This window comes from Homo sapiens, chromosome 6 (genome assembly GCF_000001405.40).
Source record: "Homo sapiens chromosome 6, GRCh38.p14 Primary Assembly".
NCBI lineage: Eukaryota > Metazoa > Chordata > Mammalia > Primates > Hominidae > Homo > Homo sapiens.
In genome coordinates, this window is record NC_000006.12 from 143,023,716 (window position 1) to 143,040,402 (window position 16,687).

The 16,687-nt window shown below is 37.2% G+C and overlaps 1 long non-coding RNA gene across 1 annotated transcript in view, besides 2 other annotated features; it reads right to left on the minus strand.

The window, feature by feature from the left end:
* The window catches only part of LINC01277 (long intergenic non-protein coding RNA 1277), a 71,162-nt gene extending 57,295 nt beyond the window's left edge, over positions 1-13,867 (minus strand). Inside the window, exon 1 of the long non-coding RNA NR_038987.1 lies at positions 13,274-13,867. This is a non-coding gene — a long non-coding RNA (long intergenic non-protein coding RNA 1277). The remainder of the gene's footprint in view (positions 1-13,273) is intronic.
* Positions 11,243-11,412: an enhancer, noted in NCBI's record as "active region_25190". NCBI's record gives its function as "activates an Ori minimal core promoter by ATAC-STARR-seq in GM12878 lymphoblastoid cells {active_cell/tissue: GM12878}" and the evidence as "EXISTENCE:reporter gene assay evidence [ECO:0000049][PMID:35858748]".
* Positions 16,125-16,194: an enhancer, noted in NCBI's record as "active region_25191". NCBI's record gives its function as "activates an Ori minimal core promoter by ATAC-STARR-seq in GM12878 lymphoblastoid cells {active_cell/tissue: GM12878}" and the evidence as "EXISTENCE:reporter gene assay evidence [ECO:0000049][PMID:35858748]".

Here is a 16,687-nt window from a genome sequence, read left to right on the forward strand (position 1 = left end):
CAGGAAATGGCCTCTAAATGGTCCTCAATTTTCTTTCATTTAGACAAAAACTGAGTTTCCCCCTTTTGCTGAGTTGTTCAGTTAAAAGACTGTTTCATTTGGAGAGTGTGACTGATGGCTCCCTGTGAGAATGGGCAGGGCAGAGCCAGGCCTGACCGGAGAGGGAGCCACTCTGTCCCCTAGGAAGCTGACTCAGGTTCCAAGGCTTATGACCTGGGCTTTGGCCCATGGGCATTTACTCAGAGAAAATTTGTAGAGTACAATCACAGTTGTTGAGTATAATCATGATGGCCCCTGACCAGTCATTCATTTCATATAGGAACTACTTGGCATGTGTTTCAGAGGACTGGGCTGAGAGTGGAGATCCATGACATGATACCAGTGATCATGTGGGTCCTAAGGACAGGTGGTGCAGGTGTCCATGGCGAAACAAGGCCTTAGCTGGTAGACTGGATTTCCAGGACAGGATCCTAATACCCACCAGGAAATCTGTCTGGAAGAAAAACAAGCTCCTAGGTTTCTGAGAGGAAAACCAGATAGGTTATTTAACAAAGATCTTAAATTAGATTACTGCAGAAGCTCAACTTTAGAATCAGTGGCACATAGCAAGGTTGAGCTTATAGACAAGACCACCTTCTTTTAAGAGCCTGACACTGAAGGATGCGTGACTAGGGTGTGAGCATAGGAGTCAAATTCAGCAGGAGACATTGATCCTAGATCAGATTAAAAGCAAAGGGGTCTTAGCCTCAGAAAAGTAGCTGCTGGAACAGAGTACATGGAAGGCCTGTAATTTGGGACTGACTGGCTAACTTGGTAGCTTTTAGTATGGGGTCAAACCTAATGGGACTTGATATTAAGAATGGGACTTGATACTGAGGCTTCTGCCTGGGGGATTAGCACAGTTTAAATATGGCCTGACACAGGGGTGGAGTTGCTCTTGTATATGGGATGTCAGGAGTCCCAGCTGTGAGGAACTGGGAATTATACAGACTGAAATCAGAAGACATGATGACTAAATGTAATGTCACACACCCTGAATTGGATCCTGGGGCAGAAAGAGGTTATTAGGTAAAAAGTAAAAATATTTGAATAACGTTTGGTCTTTAGTTAATTAAAATATGTCAATAACCATTCACTAGTTGTTAAAAATGAATCATAGAGATGTGGTATGTTAACAATAACAGAAACTGGGTACAGGTTATATAGCCACCTTCTGTACTATCATCACGACTTTTTTTTGTAAATCTGAAACTATTCAAAAGTAAAAGTTTTTTTTTTTTTTTTAAATCAGGCACCTTATTATCTTCCTCTTCTTTTTTGTTTTCTCATGGAGAAAATAGCATTTCCATTTCATTTTATCTGAGTGCTTTAGTATCTTTCCAGTAATATGTTTTATGTTTTTTTGTCTCTGTCATATATAAAAATGAGCCCATTTTGCTTACATACTACAATGTCTTAGTCTAGTCAGGCTGCTATAACAAAAATGCCATAAACTGAGTGATTTCTATGCAATAGGAATTTATTTCTCATAGTTCAGAAGGCCAGGAAGCTCAAGAACAAGGTGCCAGCAGATTTGCTACCAGGTGAGGGCCCACTCTGGTTCACAGAAGGCATCTTTTCCACCCTCACTTGGTGGAAGGGGTAAGGGGTCTTTCTTGGACCTCTTGTAAAAGGCACAACCTATTCATGAGGGTTCCATCTTCATGATCTAATCATTTCCCAAAGGTCTCACCTCCTAATACTGTCACATAAGAGAAGTTTTCAACTATTGAATTTCGAGGCACAAACACTCAGATCATAGCATAACAAAAATTGTTCAATAACAAAAAATAACATGTACTATGACTTCAGGTATGATATTAATTGAAGAAATGATTTCATAAATGTGAATAAAGCATATTTTTAAAATAGTGTTTAAAAACAGAATAAATTTACTTTCAAGTCAATAAAGGTTACTTTTTAAATTAATGCTTGACATCATTTTAAATTTAATTTATCCCCTTACTTCCTTCTTTCATCTCTCTCTCTCTACCTGTTGCATTTTGTTAAAAATCTACAATTATATTTGATAGTTATAAAAAGCTTAGAGTTGTCATACCTTTGACACCATCTACTTCAATTCTATCTTTTGATAAGGAAATGGAGGTTCAGGATTTTGATAAGCTACCCAAAATGAGCTATGCAATTCTATTTATTAATAAATAGCAAAACTGGGCCTAGATCCAGTAGTCTACCAGTATTAGTCGGTTTTCATGCTGCTGATAAAGACATACCCAAGACTGGGCAATTTACTAAAGAAAGAGGTTTATTGGACTTAACAGTTCCATGTGACTGGGGAGGTCTCACATCATGGTGGAAAGCAAGGAGGAGTAAGTCACATTTTATGTGGATGGCAGCAGACAAAGAGACCTTGTGCAGGGAAACTCCCAGTTTTAAAACCATCAGATCTCGTGGGACCCATTCACTATCACAAGAAAAGCACGGGAAAGACCAGCCCCCATGATTCCATCATCTTCCACTGGGTCCCTCACACAACACATGGGAATTATGGGAGCTACAAGATGAGATTTGGGTGGGGACACAGAGCCAATCCACATGACTACCTCCTAACAAAAAGCACATTTTAATGCACAGTCTTGCCTTCACTCTATAAAAATTACTTTGTTTCTAGAGTTATTCTTGAAATTTCCCTTCCTATAAAGACAAAGACAAGTTTGTGTCAATGGCTATTTGCTTGGACTTTATCATCCATTGTTTCAGCAGGACTGATGTGAATCCTTTTACAGCTTAACTTTATAACCTCTTTAAAAGGAAATGCTGAAAAAAATTCATGATTCTCATACTTAGATAAAAATGCCAGCCAGTTAATAATTTATAAAATAATTTTGCTACTATATGGATTTTCTCCCATCTAGTCCAATTTTCTGAGTTGCATATATGTGCTAAAATTTTAAGAGTGTAAACAGCAAAGTTGTTTTTAAAATTAGCTCTCCAAAGAATTATAAAGCAGTAAAGGAAATGAAATATGTTAGCCTTGAAGGTGATGCTATAAAGATATACAGTTAGTGTAGGAAGAAACATGTTCATTTGTATATTCTGGGCTGTTCTTTATTTTGTGGCTGCAGTCTACTTGCTATGATTTTCCCTGAGGGAATTTCTGTTTCCATTCCAAGTGGTCTGTGTTCCAAAACAGCTACCAAAGTTTATTGCTAATGTTCTTTCCATTCCCTACAATTCAGTGTCTTGCCACATTAAAGAGGTGTTTTCATGTCTTCAGAGCATCTCTTCTGTACCCATCCCATCCCCAAACTACAGCTACCAGGGGCAGTTTCCCTGACAGCAGCTGCTGTCATCTTACGTGGCCTCCAGGGGTGGTTCAAGGAACAATGGAAAGGCATTTAGAAGTGAAAGAAAATAGGGCTTGACAGGTCAGATTACTGTTATGATAGGCCTGGGTTCCTGGATTTGTTGGTTGGGGGCCCTACCTTGCCATAGCTCCTAAGTTTAATTTGGGGCTTGGTGACTCTCTGGCGCCACACTCTGGCATCCTCATCATCGGCAAAACCCTTTGGACTCCATCAAGCAGTGCAGCGCAGATCATCACAGAGAAATGTGTGGAGAAAACAACGTAAAAATCTCTGTGAAATTTATCATATTCCAGAGATATAGGACTAACTTGAGGAATTTTCTTTCAAAATTTGTTTTCTTCAGGTATTTAAAGTCAGAGTTAGGCACAAGTTTGGCTTTGAGTTCCCCAGTTGTACCATATACTTCTTCATTTTCATTTTTTTCTATATACAAACAACATAGGCATCATTGAACAAACTTATTCAAAAGGAATAATGAAATCTCCACCCCATCCTTACACCATGCCTGAGAGAAAACCACTGATCGCAATTGGTCTATATCCTTCCAGTTTTTGGACTATGTTTATGCAAATATGTACACAAATATACTACAAAAAATATATCATACTGTGCGTGTATGTGTAACTTGCACTTGCCTTTTTACTAAACAATATACACTGGGTATCTTTCCATATCAATATACACAGAGTCATTTCATTCTTTTTAATAGCCACATAGTATTCCACTCTATTATACAGAGTTATTATAATCTATTTAACCAGTCCCGCAATGATAGGCATTTGGATTAGTTTCACACTTGTAATAAAAGTGGCATCATTATACATATATAATGATGTATATAATGATACATATATCTGTGATTACTTGGAGAAATATTTTTGCATAATAAATTTCTAGAAGAGAAAGACAAAATATATCAATGTATGCTTCCATCAAGAATGATTAAAGTCCATATTTTTTCCTATTATCATACCTAACAATGTAAATTTGTAATACATTTTGGTCTTTGTTAGTCTAATTTTTTTTTACTTAATTATAAGTGAGTTTGTGTATTTTTTAAGAGCTATCTTTAATGATCATCTGTGTTCTTTGTGAATTCTGTGTTCATATTTGTTGTTTATTTTCTGTAGTGGTGTTTTCCTTTATCTTACAGATTTGTGAAAGATAATTTTAACACATTGGGTATCATTGCAATTTCCCTCATTTTGTCATCTGTCTTTTATCTTGTTTATATAGTCATTTCATTCATTTTTTTCTTTATGGTTTCTACTTATCTGATGTGTTTAGAAAGGTGTTCCTTACATAAAAATTATTTTCCACTGGTACACTTATTATTTTTGTTATTTTTAAAACATTAACCAATCTAGAGACCTTTTAGGATATGGTTCTGAAGTAGGAATACAGATTCATTTCTTCCCAATTGGGTAGGAAAATTTTGTAGCCCATTTATTGAACAATATGTCTTTTCTCCACTAATATGAAATATCACTTTTATTATATAGTAAAGCTCATATATATCAAGGTCTATTTTTTATTATGAATAACTCCTTGACCTATTGATTTTTATCTCTATTAGTGTCAGAGTATTTTAATTGCTGTATTTTATAATATGTTTTAATAAATTACAGATGAGGACTTAATCATTTTCACATTGCTCATAGCATTATAACTTATTTATTACATTCCAAATGAAATTTTAAACTTATTTTTCAAGGTTCTGAAAATGCTTAATTTGGTTTTTAATTGTAATTGCAATAATTTTATTATAACTTACTACTTTATACTCTTCCCTCAATGTAGTTATGTTTCCTCATTTATTTTAGTCTTTCTTTTGTGTTTAACTGAAAATCTTGCATCTTTCTTATTGGATTTATTTCTAGGTATGTTTATTAGCATTACTAATGAGTCTTGTTTCCCACTTCATTTTCTAACTTTTATTGATTTTTGGTATATTAATCTTGTATTAACTGCTTTCTCGTACTTTCTGTTGCTGTAGCAGACAGTTTTCTTGATTTTACTCCAAGGTAGTTATATAATTTTTGGTAAATAATCATACATTTTACAACCAATATATACTTTTTTCCTTTCCTTATATTCTTTTATTGTCCATAAGTTCCAGAATCTTGTTGAATAATAGAAGTATTAATAGAAAGCATTCTCTATTTTTTTTATATTATACTTTAAGTTCTGGGGTACATGTGCACCAAGTGCAGGTTTGTTACGTAGGTATACATGTGCCATGTTGGTGTGCTGCACCCATCAACCCGTCATTTATATTAGGTATTTTTCCTAATGCTATCCCTCCCCCAGTCCCCCACCCACCTACAGGCCCCAGTGTGTGATGAGCCCCTCCCTGTGTCCATGTGTTCTCATTGTTCAATTCCCACTTATGAGTGAGAACATGTGGTGCTTGGTTTTCTGTCCTTGTGATAGTTTGCTGAGAATGATGGTTTCCACTTTCATTCATGTCCCTGTAAAGAACATGAACTCATCTTTTTTATGGCTGCATAGTATTCCATGGTGTATATGTGCCACATTTTCTTTATCCAGTCTATTACTGATGGGCATTTGGGTTGGTTCCAAGTCTTTGCTATTGTGAATAGTGTCACAATAAACATACATGTGCTTGTGTCTCTATAGCAGCATAATTTATAATCCTTTGGGTATATACCCACTAATGGGATTGCTGGGTTAAATGGTATTTCTAGTTCTAGATCCTTGAGGAATCACCACACTGTCTTCCACAACGGTTGAACTAATTTACACTCCCACCAACAGTGTAAAAGCATTCCTATTTCTCCACATCCTCTCCAGCACCTGTTTTTTCCTGACTTTTTAATGATCACTATTCTAACTGGTGAGAGATTGTATCTCATTGTAGTTTTGATTTGCATTTCTCTAATGACCAGTGATGATGAGCATTTTTTCATAAGTCTGTTGGCTGCATAAATGTCTTCTTTTGAGAAGTGTCTGTTCATATCCTTTGCCCACTTTTCGATGGGGTTGTTTTTTTCTTATAAATTTGTTGAAGTTCTTTGCAGATTCTGGATATTAGCCCTTTGTCAGATGGATAGATTGCAAAAATTTTCTCCAATTCTGTAGGTTGCCTGTTCACTCTGCTAAGAGTTTCTTTTGCTGTGCAGAAGCTCTTTAGTATAATTAGATCCCATTTGTCAATTTTGGCTTTTGTTGCCATTGCTTTTGGTGTTTTAGTCATGAAGTCTTTGCCCATGCCTATGTCCTGAATGGTAATGCTTAGGTTTTCTTCTAGGGTTTTTATGGTTTTAGATCTTACATTTAAGTCTTTAATCCACCTTGAGTTAATTTTTGTATATGGTGTAAGGAAGGAATCCAGTTTCAGCTTTCTACATATGGCTAGCCAGTTTTCCCAGCACCATTTATTAAATAGGGAATCCTTTCCCCATTGCTTGTTTTCGTCAGGTTTGTCAAATATCAGATGGTTGTAGATGTGTGGCATTATTTCTGAGGCCTCTGATCTGTTCCATTGGTCTATATAACTGTTTTGGTACCAGTAACACGCTGTTTTGGTTACTGTAGACTTGTAGTACAGTTTGAAGTCAGGTAGTGTGATGCCTCCAGCTTTGTTCTTTTTGCTTAGAATTGTCTTGGCTATGCGGGCCCTTTTTTTTCCCATATGAAATTTAAAGTAGTTTTTTCCAATTCTGTGAAGGAAGTCAGTGGTAGCTTGATGGGGATAGCATTGAAGGTATAAATTACCTTGGGCAGTATGGCCATTTTCACAATATTGATTCTTCCTATCCATAAGCATGAAATGTTCTTGTATTTGTTTGTGTCCTCTTTTATTTCATTGAGCAGTGGTTTGTAGTTCTCCTTCACATCCCTTGTAAGTTGCATTCCTAGGTATTTTATTCTCTTTGTAGCAATTGTGAATGGGAGTTCATTCATTATTTCACTCTCTATTTGCTTGTAATTGGTGTATAGATATACTTGTGATTTTTGCACACTGATTTTGTATCCTGAGACACTGCTGAAGTTGCTTATCAGCTTAAGGAAATTTGGGATGAGATGATGGGGTTTTCTAAATATATAATCATGTCATCTGCAAACAGAGACAATTTGACTTCCTCTTTTCATAATTGAATACCCTTTATTTCTTTCTCTTGTCTGATTGCCCTGGCCAGAACTTCCAATACTATGCTGAATAGGAGTGGTGAGAGAGGGTATACTTGTCTTGTGCCAGCTTTCAAAGGGAATGCTTCCAGTTTTTGCCCATTCAGTATGATATTGGCTGTGGGTTTGTCATAAATAGCTCTTATTATTTTGAGGTATGTCCCATCAATACCTAGTTTATTGAGAGTTTTTATCATGAAGGGCTGTTGAATTTTGTCAAAGGTCTTTTCTGCATCTATTAAGATAAGCATGTGGGTTTTGTCGTTGGTTCTGTTTATGTGATGGATTACGTTTATTGATTTGCATGTGTTGAACCAGCCTTGCATCCCAGGGATGAAGCCAACTTGATCATGGTGGATAAGTTTTTGATGTGCTGCTGGATTCGGCTTGCCACTATTTTATTGAGGATTTTTGCATCGATGTTTATCAGGGATACTGACCTAAAATTCTTTTTTTGTTGTGTCTCTGCCAGTCTTTGGTATCAGGATGATGCTGGCCTCCTAAAATGAGTTAGGGAGGATTCCCTCTTTTTCTATTGATTGGGATAGTTTCAGAAGGAACGGTACCAGCTCCTCTTTGTACCTCTGGTACAATTTGGCTGTGAATCCATCTGGTCCTGGACTTTTTTTGGTTGGTAGGCTATTAATTATTGCCTCATTTCAGAACTTGCTATTGGTCTATTCAGAGATACGACTTCTTCCTGGTTTAGTCTTGGGAGGGTGTATGTGTCCATGAATGTATCCATTTCTTCTAGATTTTCTAGTTTATTTGCATAGAGGTGTTTATAGTATTTTCTGATAGTAGTTTGTATTTCTGTGGGATTGGTGGTGATATCCCCTTTATCATTTTTTATTACGTCTATTTGATTCTTCTCTTTCTTCCTTATTAGTCTTTCTAGCAGTCCATGAATTTTGTTGATCTTCTCAAAAAACCAGATCCTGGGTTCATTGATTTTTTTGAAGGTTTTTTTTTTTGAGTCTCTATCTCCTTCGGTTCTGCTCTGATCTTAGTTATTTCTTGTCTTCTGCTAGCTTTTCAATTTGTTTGCTCTTGCTTCTCTAGTTCTTTTAATTGTGATGTTAGAGTGTTGATTTTAGATATTTCCTACTTTCTCTTGTTGGCATTTAGTGCTATAAATTTCCCTCTAACCACTGCTTTAAATGTGTCTAGAGAATCTGGTACGTTGTGTCTTCATTCTCAATGGTTTCAAAGAACATCTTTATTTCTGCCATCATTTCATTAGTTACCCAGTAGTCATTCAGGAGCAAGTTGTTCAGTTTCCATGTAGTTGAGTGGTTTTGAGTGAGTTTCTTAATCCTGAATTCTAATTTGATTGCACTGTGGTCTGAGAGACAGTTTGTTGTGATTTCTGTTATTTCCATTTGCTGAGGAGTGTTTTACTTCCAAACACTTCTCCTGGTCCATTTTAGAATAAGTGCGATGTGGTGCTGAGAAGAATGTATATTTTGTTGATTTGGGGTGGAGTGTTCTGTAGAAGTCTATTAGGTCTGCTTGGTCCAGAGCTGAGTTCAAGTCCTGGATATCCTTGTTAATTTTCTGTCTTGTTGATCTGTCTAATATTAACAATGGGGTGTTAAAGTCTCCCACTATTATTGTGTGGGAGTCACAGTCTCTTTGTAGGTCTCTAAGTACTTGCTTTATGAATCTGGGTGCTCCTGTATTGGGTGCATATATATTTAGGATAGTTAGCTCTTCTTGTTGAATTGATCCCTTTACCATTATGTAATGGCCTTCTTTGTCTCTTTTGATCTTTGTTGGTTTAAAGTCTGTTTTATCTTTGTTATTGTGAATAGTGCCACAAGTTGATGTGTGCAGCAAACCAAAATGGCACATGTATACTTATGTATCAAACCTGCATTTTGTGCACATGTACCGTAGAACTTAAAGTATAATAATACAAAAAAGTCTGTTTTATCACAGACAAGGATTGCAACCCCTGCTTTTTTTTGCTTTCCATTTACTTGGTAGATCTTCCTCCATCCCTTTATTTTGAGCCTATTTGTGTCTTTGCACACGAGATGGGTCTCCTGAATACAGCACACTGATGGGTCTTGACTCTTTATCCAATTTGCCAGTCTGTGTCTTTTAATTGGGGCATTTAGCACATTTACATTTAAGGTCAATATTATTATGTGTGAATTTGATCCTGTCATTATGATGCTAGCTGGTTATTTTGCCCGTTCGTTCATGCAGTTTCTTCATAGCATCAGTGGACTTCACTATTTGGCATGTTTTTGCAGTGGCTGGTACCCGTTGTTCCTTTCCACATTTAGTGCTTCCTTCAGGAGCTCTTGTAAGGCAGGCCTGGTGGTGACAAAATCTCTCAGCATTTGCTTGTCTATAAAGGATTTTATTTCTCCTTCCCTTGTGAAGCTTAGTTTGGCTGGATATGAAATTCTGCGCTGAAAATTCTTTCCTTTAAGAATGTTGAATATTGGCCCCCACTCTCTTCTGGCTTGTAGGGTGTCTGCCAAGAGATCCACTGTTAGTCTGATGGGCTTCCCTTTGTGGGTAACCTAACCTTTCTCTTTGGCTGCCCTTAACATTTTTTCCTTCATTTCAACCTTGGTGAATCTGATGATTATATGACTTGGGGTTGCTTTTCTCAAGGAATATCTTTGTGGTATTCTTTGTATTTCCTGAATTTGAATCTTGGCCTGTCTTGCTAGGTTGGGAAAGTTTTCCTAGATAATATCCTGAAGAGTGTTTTCTAACTTGGTTCCATTCTCCCCGTCACTTTCCGGTACACCAATCAAATGTAGATTTGGTCTTTTCACATAGTCCCATATTTCTTGGGGGCTTTATTCATTTCTTTTCATTCTTTTTTCTCTAATCTTGTCTTCTCACTTTATTTCATTAATTTGATCTTCAATCACTGATATCCTTTCTTCCATTTGATCTAATCAGCTATTGAAGCTTGTGTATGCTTCATGAAGTTCTCGTGCTGTTTTTTTCAGCTCCCTCAGGTAATTTATGTTTTTCTCTACACTAGTTATTCTTATTCTAGTTAGCCATGCCTCTAACCTTTTTTCAAGGTTCTTAGCTTCCTTGCAATGGGTCAGAACATGCTCCTTTCGCTCGGAGAAGTTTGTTATTACCCACCTTCTGAACCCTACTTCTGTCAATGCATCAAACTCATTCTCCGTCCAGTTTTGTTCCCTTACTGGCGAGGAGTTGTGATCCTTTGGAGGAGAAGAGGCTTTCTGGTTCTTGGAATTTTTAGCCTTTCTGCTCTGGTTTCTCCCCATCTTTGTGGTTTTATCTACCTTTGGTCTTTTATCTACCTTTGGTCTTGATGTTGGTTTTGGTGTGGATGTCCTTTTTGTTGATGTTGATGCTATTCCTTTCTGTTTCTTGGTTTTCCTTCTAACAGTCAGGTCCCTCAGTTTCAGATCTGTTGGAGTTTGCTGGAGGTCCACTCCAGACCCTGTTCGCCTGGGTATCACCAGTGGAGGCTGCAGAACAGCAAATATTGCTGCCTGATCCTTCCTCTGGAAGCTTTGTCCCAGAGGGGCACCCACCAGATGCCAGCAAGAGCTCTCCTTAATGAGGTGTCTCTCAGCCCCTACTGGGAAGTGTCTCCCAGGCAGGCTACATGAGGGTCAGGGACCCACTTAAGGAGGCAGTCCATCCATTATCAGAGCTCGACCACCATGCTGGGTGAGCCACTGCTCTTTTCAGAGGTGTCAGCCAGGGACATTTAAGTCTGGAGAAGCTGTGCCCACAGTTGCCCCTTCCCCCACGTGCTCTGTCCCAGAGGGACGAGGGTTTTATCTGTAACTCCCTGACTGGGGCTGCTGCCTTTTGTTCAGATATGCCGTGCCCACAGAGGTGAAATCTAGAGAGGCAGTCAGCCTTGCTGAGCTTCAGTGGGCTCCGCCCAGTTCCAGTTTCCCGACAGCTTTGTTTACTCTATGAGCATAAAACCACCTACTCAAGCCTCAGCAATGGTGGATGCCCCTCCCCCTGCCAAACTCCAGCGTCCCAGGTCAATTTCAGACTGCTGCCCTTGCAGTGAGAATTTCAAGCCAATGGATCTTAGCTTGCTGGACTCCATGGGCATGGGACCCACTGAGCGAGCCACTGGAGGGAATCTCCTGGTCTGCCAGTTGTGAAGACCATGGGAAAAGCGCAGTATTTGGGCAGAAGCGTACTGTTCCTCCTGGCACAGTCTCTCATGGCTTCCCTTGGCTAGGGAAGGGAAATCCCCTGACACCTTGTGCTTCCCAGGTGAGGCGACGCCCCACCCTCCTTCGGCTAGCCCTCTGTGGGATGCACCCACTGTCCAACCAGTCTCAATGAGATGAACCAGATACCTCAGTTGGAAATGAAGAAATCACCCATCTTCTGCATCGATCTCACTGGGAGCTGCAGACCGGAGTTCCTACTAGGCCATCTTGGAAGAGTCCCTGGTTTTTCTTCTTGTGCTCCCATGTCCTCTTATTTATCACTTTAATGTGATTATTTTTGGTATTTCATTATTAAGTATTATATTGGCTTTGGATTTCTAAAAAATACTTGTTACCAAGTTAAGAAAGTCTGCTTTTCCCTTGGCACACCAGGAATTTTAATCAAAAGTAACGTTAACATTTATAAAATGTCCTTTAGCATCTACCAAGATTACATTAGCATATTTCCTAAATTTGAACAATTTTTGTACTCTTGAATAAATTTGATCAGGTAAAGTGTATTGCTCTTTTAGTATACTGTTGGATTTGATATTTCATAACAGACTTTTTATTTGTGCTTATTAGATAGATTGGCCCATGGTTTTGTGACATATTTATCAGGTTTATTGTATCAAAGTTATGATTTCTATAGCTTTGTAACAATTAAGTACTACAGAACTTAACTATTCGTCAGTATTTGGTAAAAATTTCTGAGAAAATGAACATGGCCCAGAGCCATTTTACAGTATTTTTTTTACAAAAGTTTCAACTTTTCTATGGATATTGATCTATTTTGGCTTCCTATATTTTATTCAGGCAAATTGGTTGTTTGTAGTTTCCTTAAAAATATCTATTTTAAAATTTTATACTCAGAAAAGTACAAAAATTTTATTTAAAAATTATAATTTCCTTTGGTTATACCTTTTCTGTTTTCTAATATTGTATTTGTGTTCTCTTAGGTTTCCTTTGGCTAGACTTGCTAGGGATTGATTGGTTTGTTTTGTTTTTATAACTTTTCAAATACAAGATCACTGTTTTTATCAATAAATTGTAATGTTTGGCTTTCTCATGTTTAAGTCATTGCTTTTACATTCTTTTACTTTCTTTTGATTTATTTTCTTCTTTTTAATTTCCTGAGTTATACATTTATGTTATTTTAAACAAAATTTTTCATAAGGTAAGATTTGGTTACAATTCACAAGATTATATTATGTTATCAGGATTCTTTTTTCCTCTTTGATACAAGAGTTATCTAGAAGACTATTTTTATTTCCAGGTGATTTTTAGAAATGCTTTATTTTGATGCTGATGTCAGTATTTATTGCATGGAGTCAAACATATATTTCCTATACAAAATTATTCATTTTCAAATATATTTCTAATTATACAAGTAGCACATGAATACATTTTTATTGTGAAAGATTTATATAATGTAGACAAAACTATTTCCTCTAACCCCATCTCTAGTGGCAACATTAGTTACTGGCTTATTGTATATCATTTCAGTCTCTTTTCTATTCATCTGTGTCCTCTCACCAGGAACTGGTACCATCCTGTACTTACTGTATGTAGCACACTGATCCATACATGCATAGGCATTGCTCCCACCTGCAGGCTGCTGCCTAGCTTGTGGCTAATACGGGGATATAGAGAAGCCAATTCATCTGGTTGCTCCTGCTGAAGTACACCAACTAATCACCTTCTTGATTACTTCTGATGCACTCCTGCTCATTGTATCTGCCAACCCAGAGCATGAAGTAACTCTTTTATAGAAGTTTTTCCTGCATGCAGTTTGACCATACATTTCTCCTTCAAGTGATTGTGTTTTCATCTTTCAGTTATTCAACATAATTTTGTGTAGTCAGTATTCATTTACAGTTACCAACACATTTACCCATCCAGTATTCTTCATTCCCTCCTTGAATTTCCATCTTTTCAAATGAGATCATTTTTACTTTTGCTAGTAGAAATCCCTTCAGCATTTCAGTGTAAAACTCCTAGCAATAAATTATGTGAATTTTTGTTTTTTGTTTACTTTTTGCTTCTTTTTGTTGCTTGTTTGTTTGAAAATGTCATCATTTAACGTTCATTTCTGAAGATTGTTTTTCACACGTTGGCCTTTAGTTTCTTTCAGTACTCTAGAGATAGCATTCCATTATCTTCTGGCTTCTATTGTTGCTATTAGAGACAGCTGCCAGTCTCATTGTTGCTCTTTTGTAGATAATGTGTCTTTTTTCTTCTGGCTGGTTTTTCCATCTTCTCTGTCTTTGGTTCAGCAGTTTTATTGTGAGTTGCATAATTGTGGTTTTCTCTATACTTATCCTGCTTGAGGGTTTGCTGAGCTTCTTAACCAGTGGGTTAAATGTATTTTATCTGCTTTAGAAAATTCCCAACCATTATCCCTTTGAATATTGCTTCTGCTCTATTTCTTTCTCCTTGCCCTCTGAAACTTCAGTTTTACATGGTAGACCTTTCATACTTGTCCTGTATGTCTCTTACATTTGTTTCTTATTTTTTCTCTTTCTTTTTTTCTTCCATGCTTCACTTTGTATATTTTTCATTGATATGTTTCCAGTTCACAAGTCTTGTATTCAATAGTGTCCAACCTATTGTTAAACTCATATATTGAGTTTTTAAATTTAATTTTGAAATAATTTACTTTGAAATATTTTTATCAGAAAAGTTGCAAGAACAGTAGAATGAACTCCCACATTCTCTTCATCCAGATTCCTCAGTTAATAGTTTCATATTTTCTCCATCTCTTTTTGTAAAGATGATAGATAGATAGATAGATAGATAGATAGATAGATAGATAGATAGATGTGTATTTTCAAGGATATGATACCTTTTTTGAATATTTTGAGAGCAAGTTAAGCAAGTTGAAACCTTTATGTCCTATCATCTGTAAATATTCCTATTACTACTTCTCCCAAAGACACTCTCCTACAGAGTAATTGCCAAGCCTTTCAAATCAGAAAATGGACAGCGATAAATACCAGCATTCAAACCACAGTTCATTATTATCCAACGTTCCAGGCTTATCTTGAAATTTCTCTACCTCCATCCTTGAATCATCCACTTTTACAAGGAGTCCTTGTTGTTTGTTATGGAAATTGGAACCTACATACTTGTTATTAATTGCTACTGGGGTGTCATTGCACCTAGGTCCTCTCCATGGTCAGAATTTTGAAATATATGTATGTATTCATGGATATGTACACAGACATATTCACTTGCATTGATAATTTTTTTTGTTTCTTTCCTCCCTTCCCTTTCACTCTTTCCTTCTTTCCTTCCTTTTGCTCTTTCCTTCCTTCCTTCTTCCTTCTTACCATAACAATAGCAATGAGTTATTTTTTTCGCTTCCCCTTTTCATATTTGTAAATTTGTTTTCCCACAGAGAGAAATCCAGCTTCCATTAGCTTCAATATAGATACTTTCTTGATCAATCCTCCTTTACATAATTAATTTCCTAAAAATGCTAGGTACTGCCATGGCCAACTCATCACTCCTGATTTCATCTCCAGGCAAGTTGTCACTTTTGAACTCTTCTCCCCACCAAACCCTGGTCTGTTTGATATGCCACTGCCTCCATGCCCCTGTCTCCACCTTCTGGCTGTTAGACACATTGTTAACTGTGCACCCCAACTTACTCTTACCTTCACCTCCCTGGTGCTTCTTCTGCTGAGCATACAACTGCCACCATATGTACCCCCTATACATGCTTCCTTGGACACCAGGCACTCTGCTGCCTCCACATGGCTTTCCCATTATGACTTCTTTTGCCCCTATGCACATCACTATCTGTATGCCCGCCACCCTACTTTCTTGGCTGTTGGACACACTGCTATCTCTACTGATCCTTTCCACTGCAGTTTTCTCCATATATTGATTTCTTAACTGACGATAGTATATTTTTTCAAATTTAGAATGCCTAAAGAAATCTTTTTTATAGGTTAGTTTTACTGAAAATTGTCCATTTCCTCATCAATTTTGCACTTTATTTTCTTAAACATATTCATAAAAATTATTTGTAAATTCTCATTTGCTGATTACAATATCTTGATCATCTATAATTGTGTTTCTATTGTGTGTGTTTTTTTCTCTTGATTATTGGGCAAATGAACTTGATCTTCCACATCTAGTAATTTAAAAAATGTTAGACATTATGTATAATAAAACCATAAAGGGTCCAGATGATATTGCCTTCCACCGAAAGTGTTCCCTTTTTCTTCTGTTGGGCAGGTAGAATAGCCTTTGATCACCTCAATCGAGTCAGAGATTATTCTGAATCAGAAGCTGGTTTCAGTTTTGCTAAGTGTACCTCCGATTCACTTCTGTTCTTAGGGTGTAGCCCTCCAGGGCTTTCAATTGAGAGCCTGGTGGATCTCTGTCTTCCAGCCCTAAAAGATAACAGCAAGTTTTCAGTTTAGCTCTTTAACCTCCTGCTCCATAAAGCTTCAAAATTCAGCAACTCGCTTGAAAGGAAGACTGGCAATGTGTTTGGGACACTCTATAGTCTTCTGTGAAGAATAGAGATCTCTTTTGTTGTTTTCTTTGAGGGACAGCCTGTAGCTTTGCTCAGAATCTGTAAATATTCCCATCAAAAAACCACCTGTAAATTACCAATGTCAATTCCCTACTCCCTCTTATGTTTTTATATTTTACTTCTTTTGTTTTGGGGCTCCTCTTTTCCATAGCAGTTCGTTGATTCTCTAGCACCATGACACTGTGGGGGACTTCACTTTGCATTTCAGAAGTTTGGGGACTACTGTTTTAGCCTCCATACAGTCTCAGAATTCAGTTAATGTCTTAATCATGTATTTAGGGTTTCTCACACCTTCAGTGAGTCACCAAAGCCCCATATAACTGCTAAAAGTTTTGTTAGTTTAACTTTTTTCCGCAGCTGCATCTTTCTGCCTGGACTCAGCCTCATCCTTAGCCTGCACTCCAACCTGGCAATTTTGCCAAGAGGAA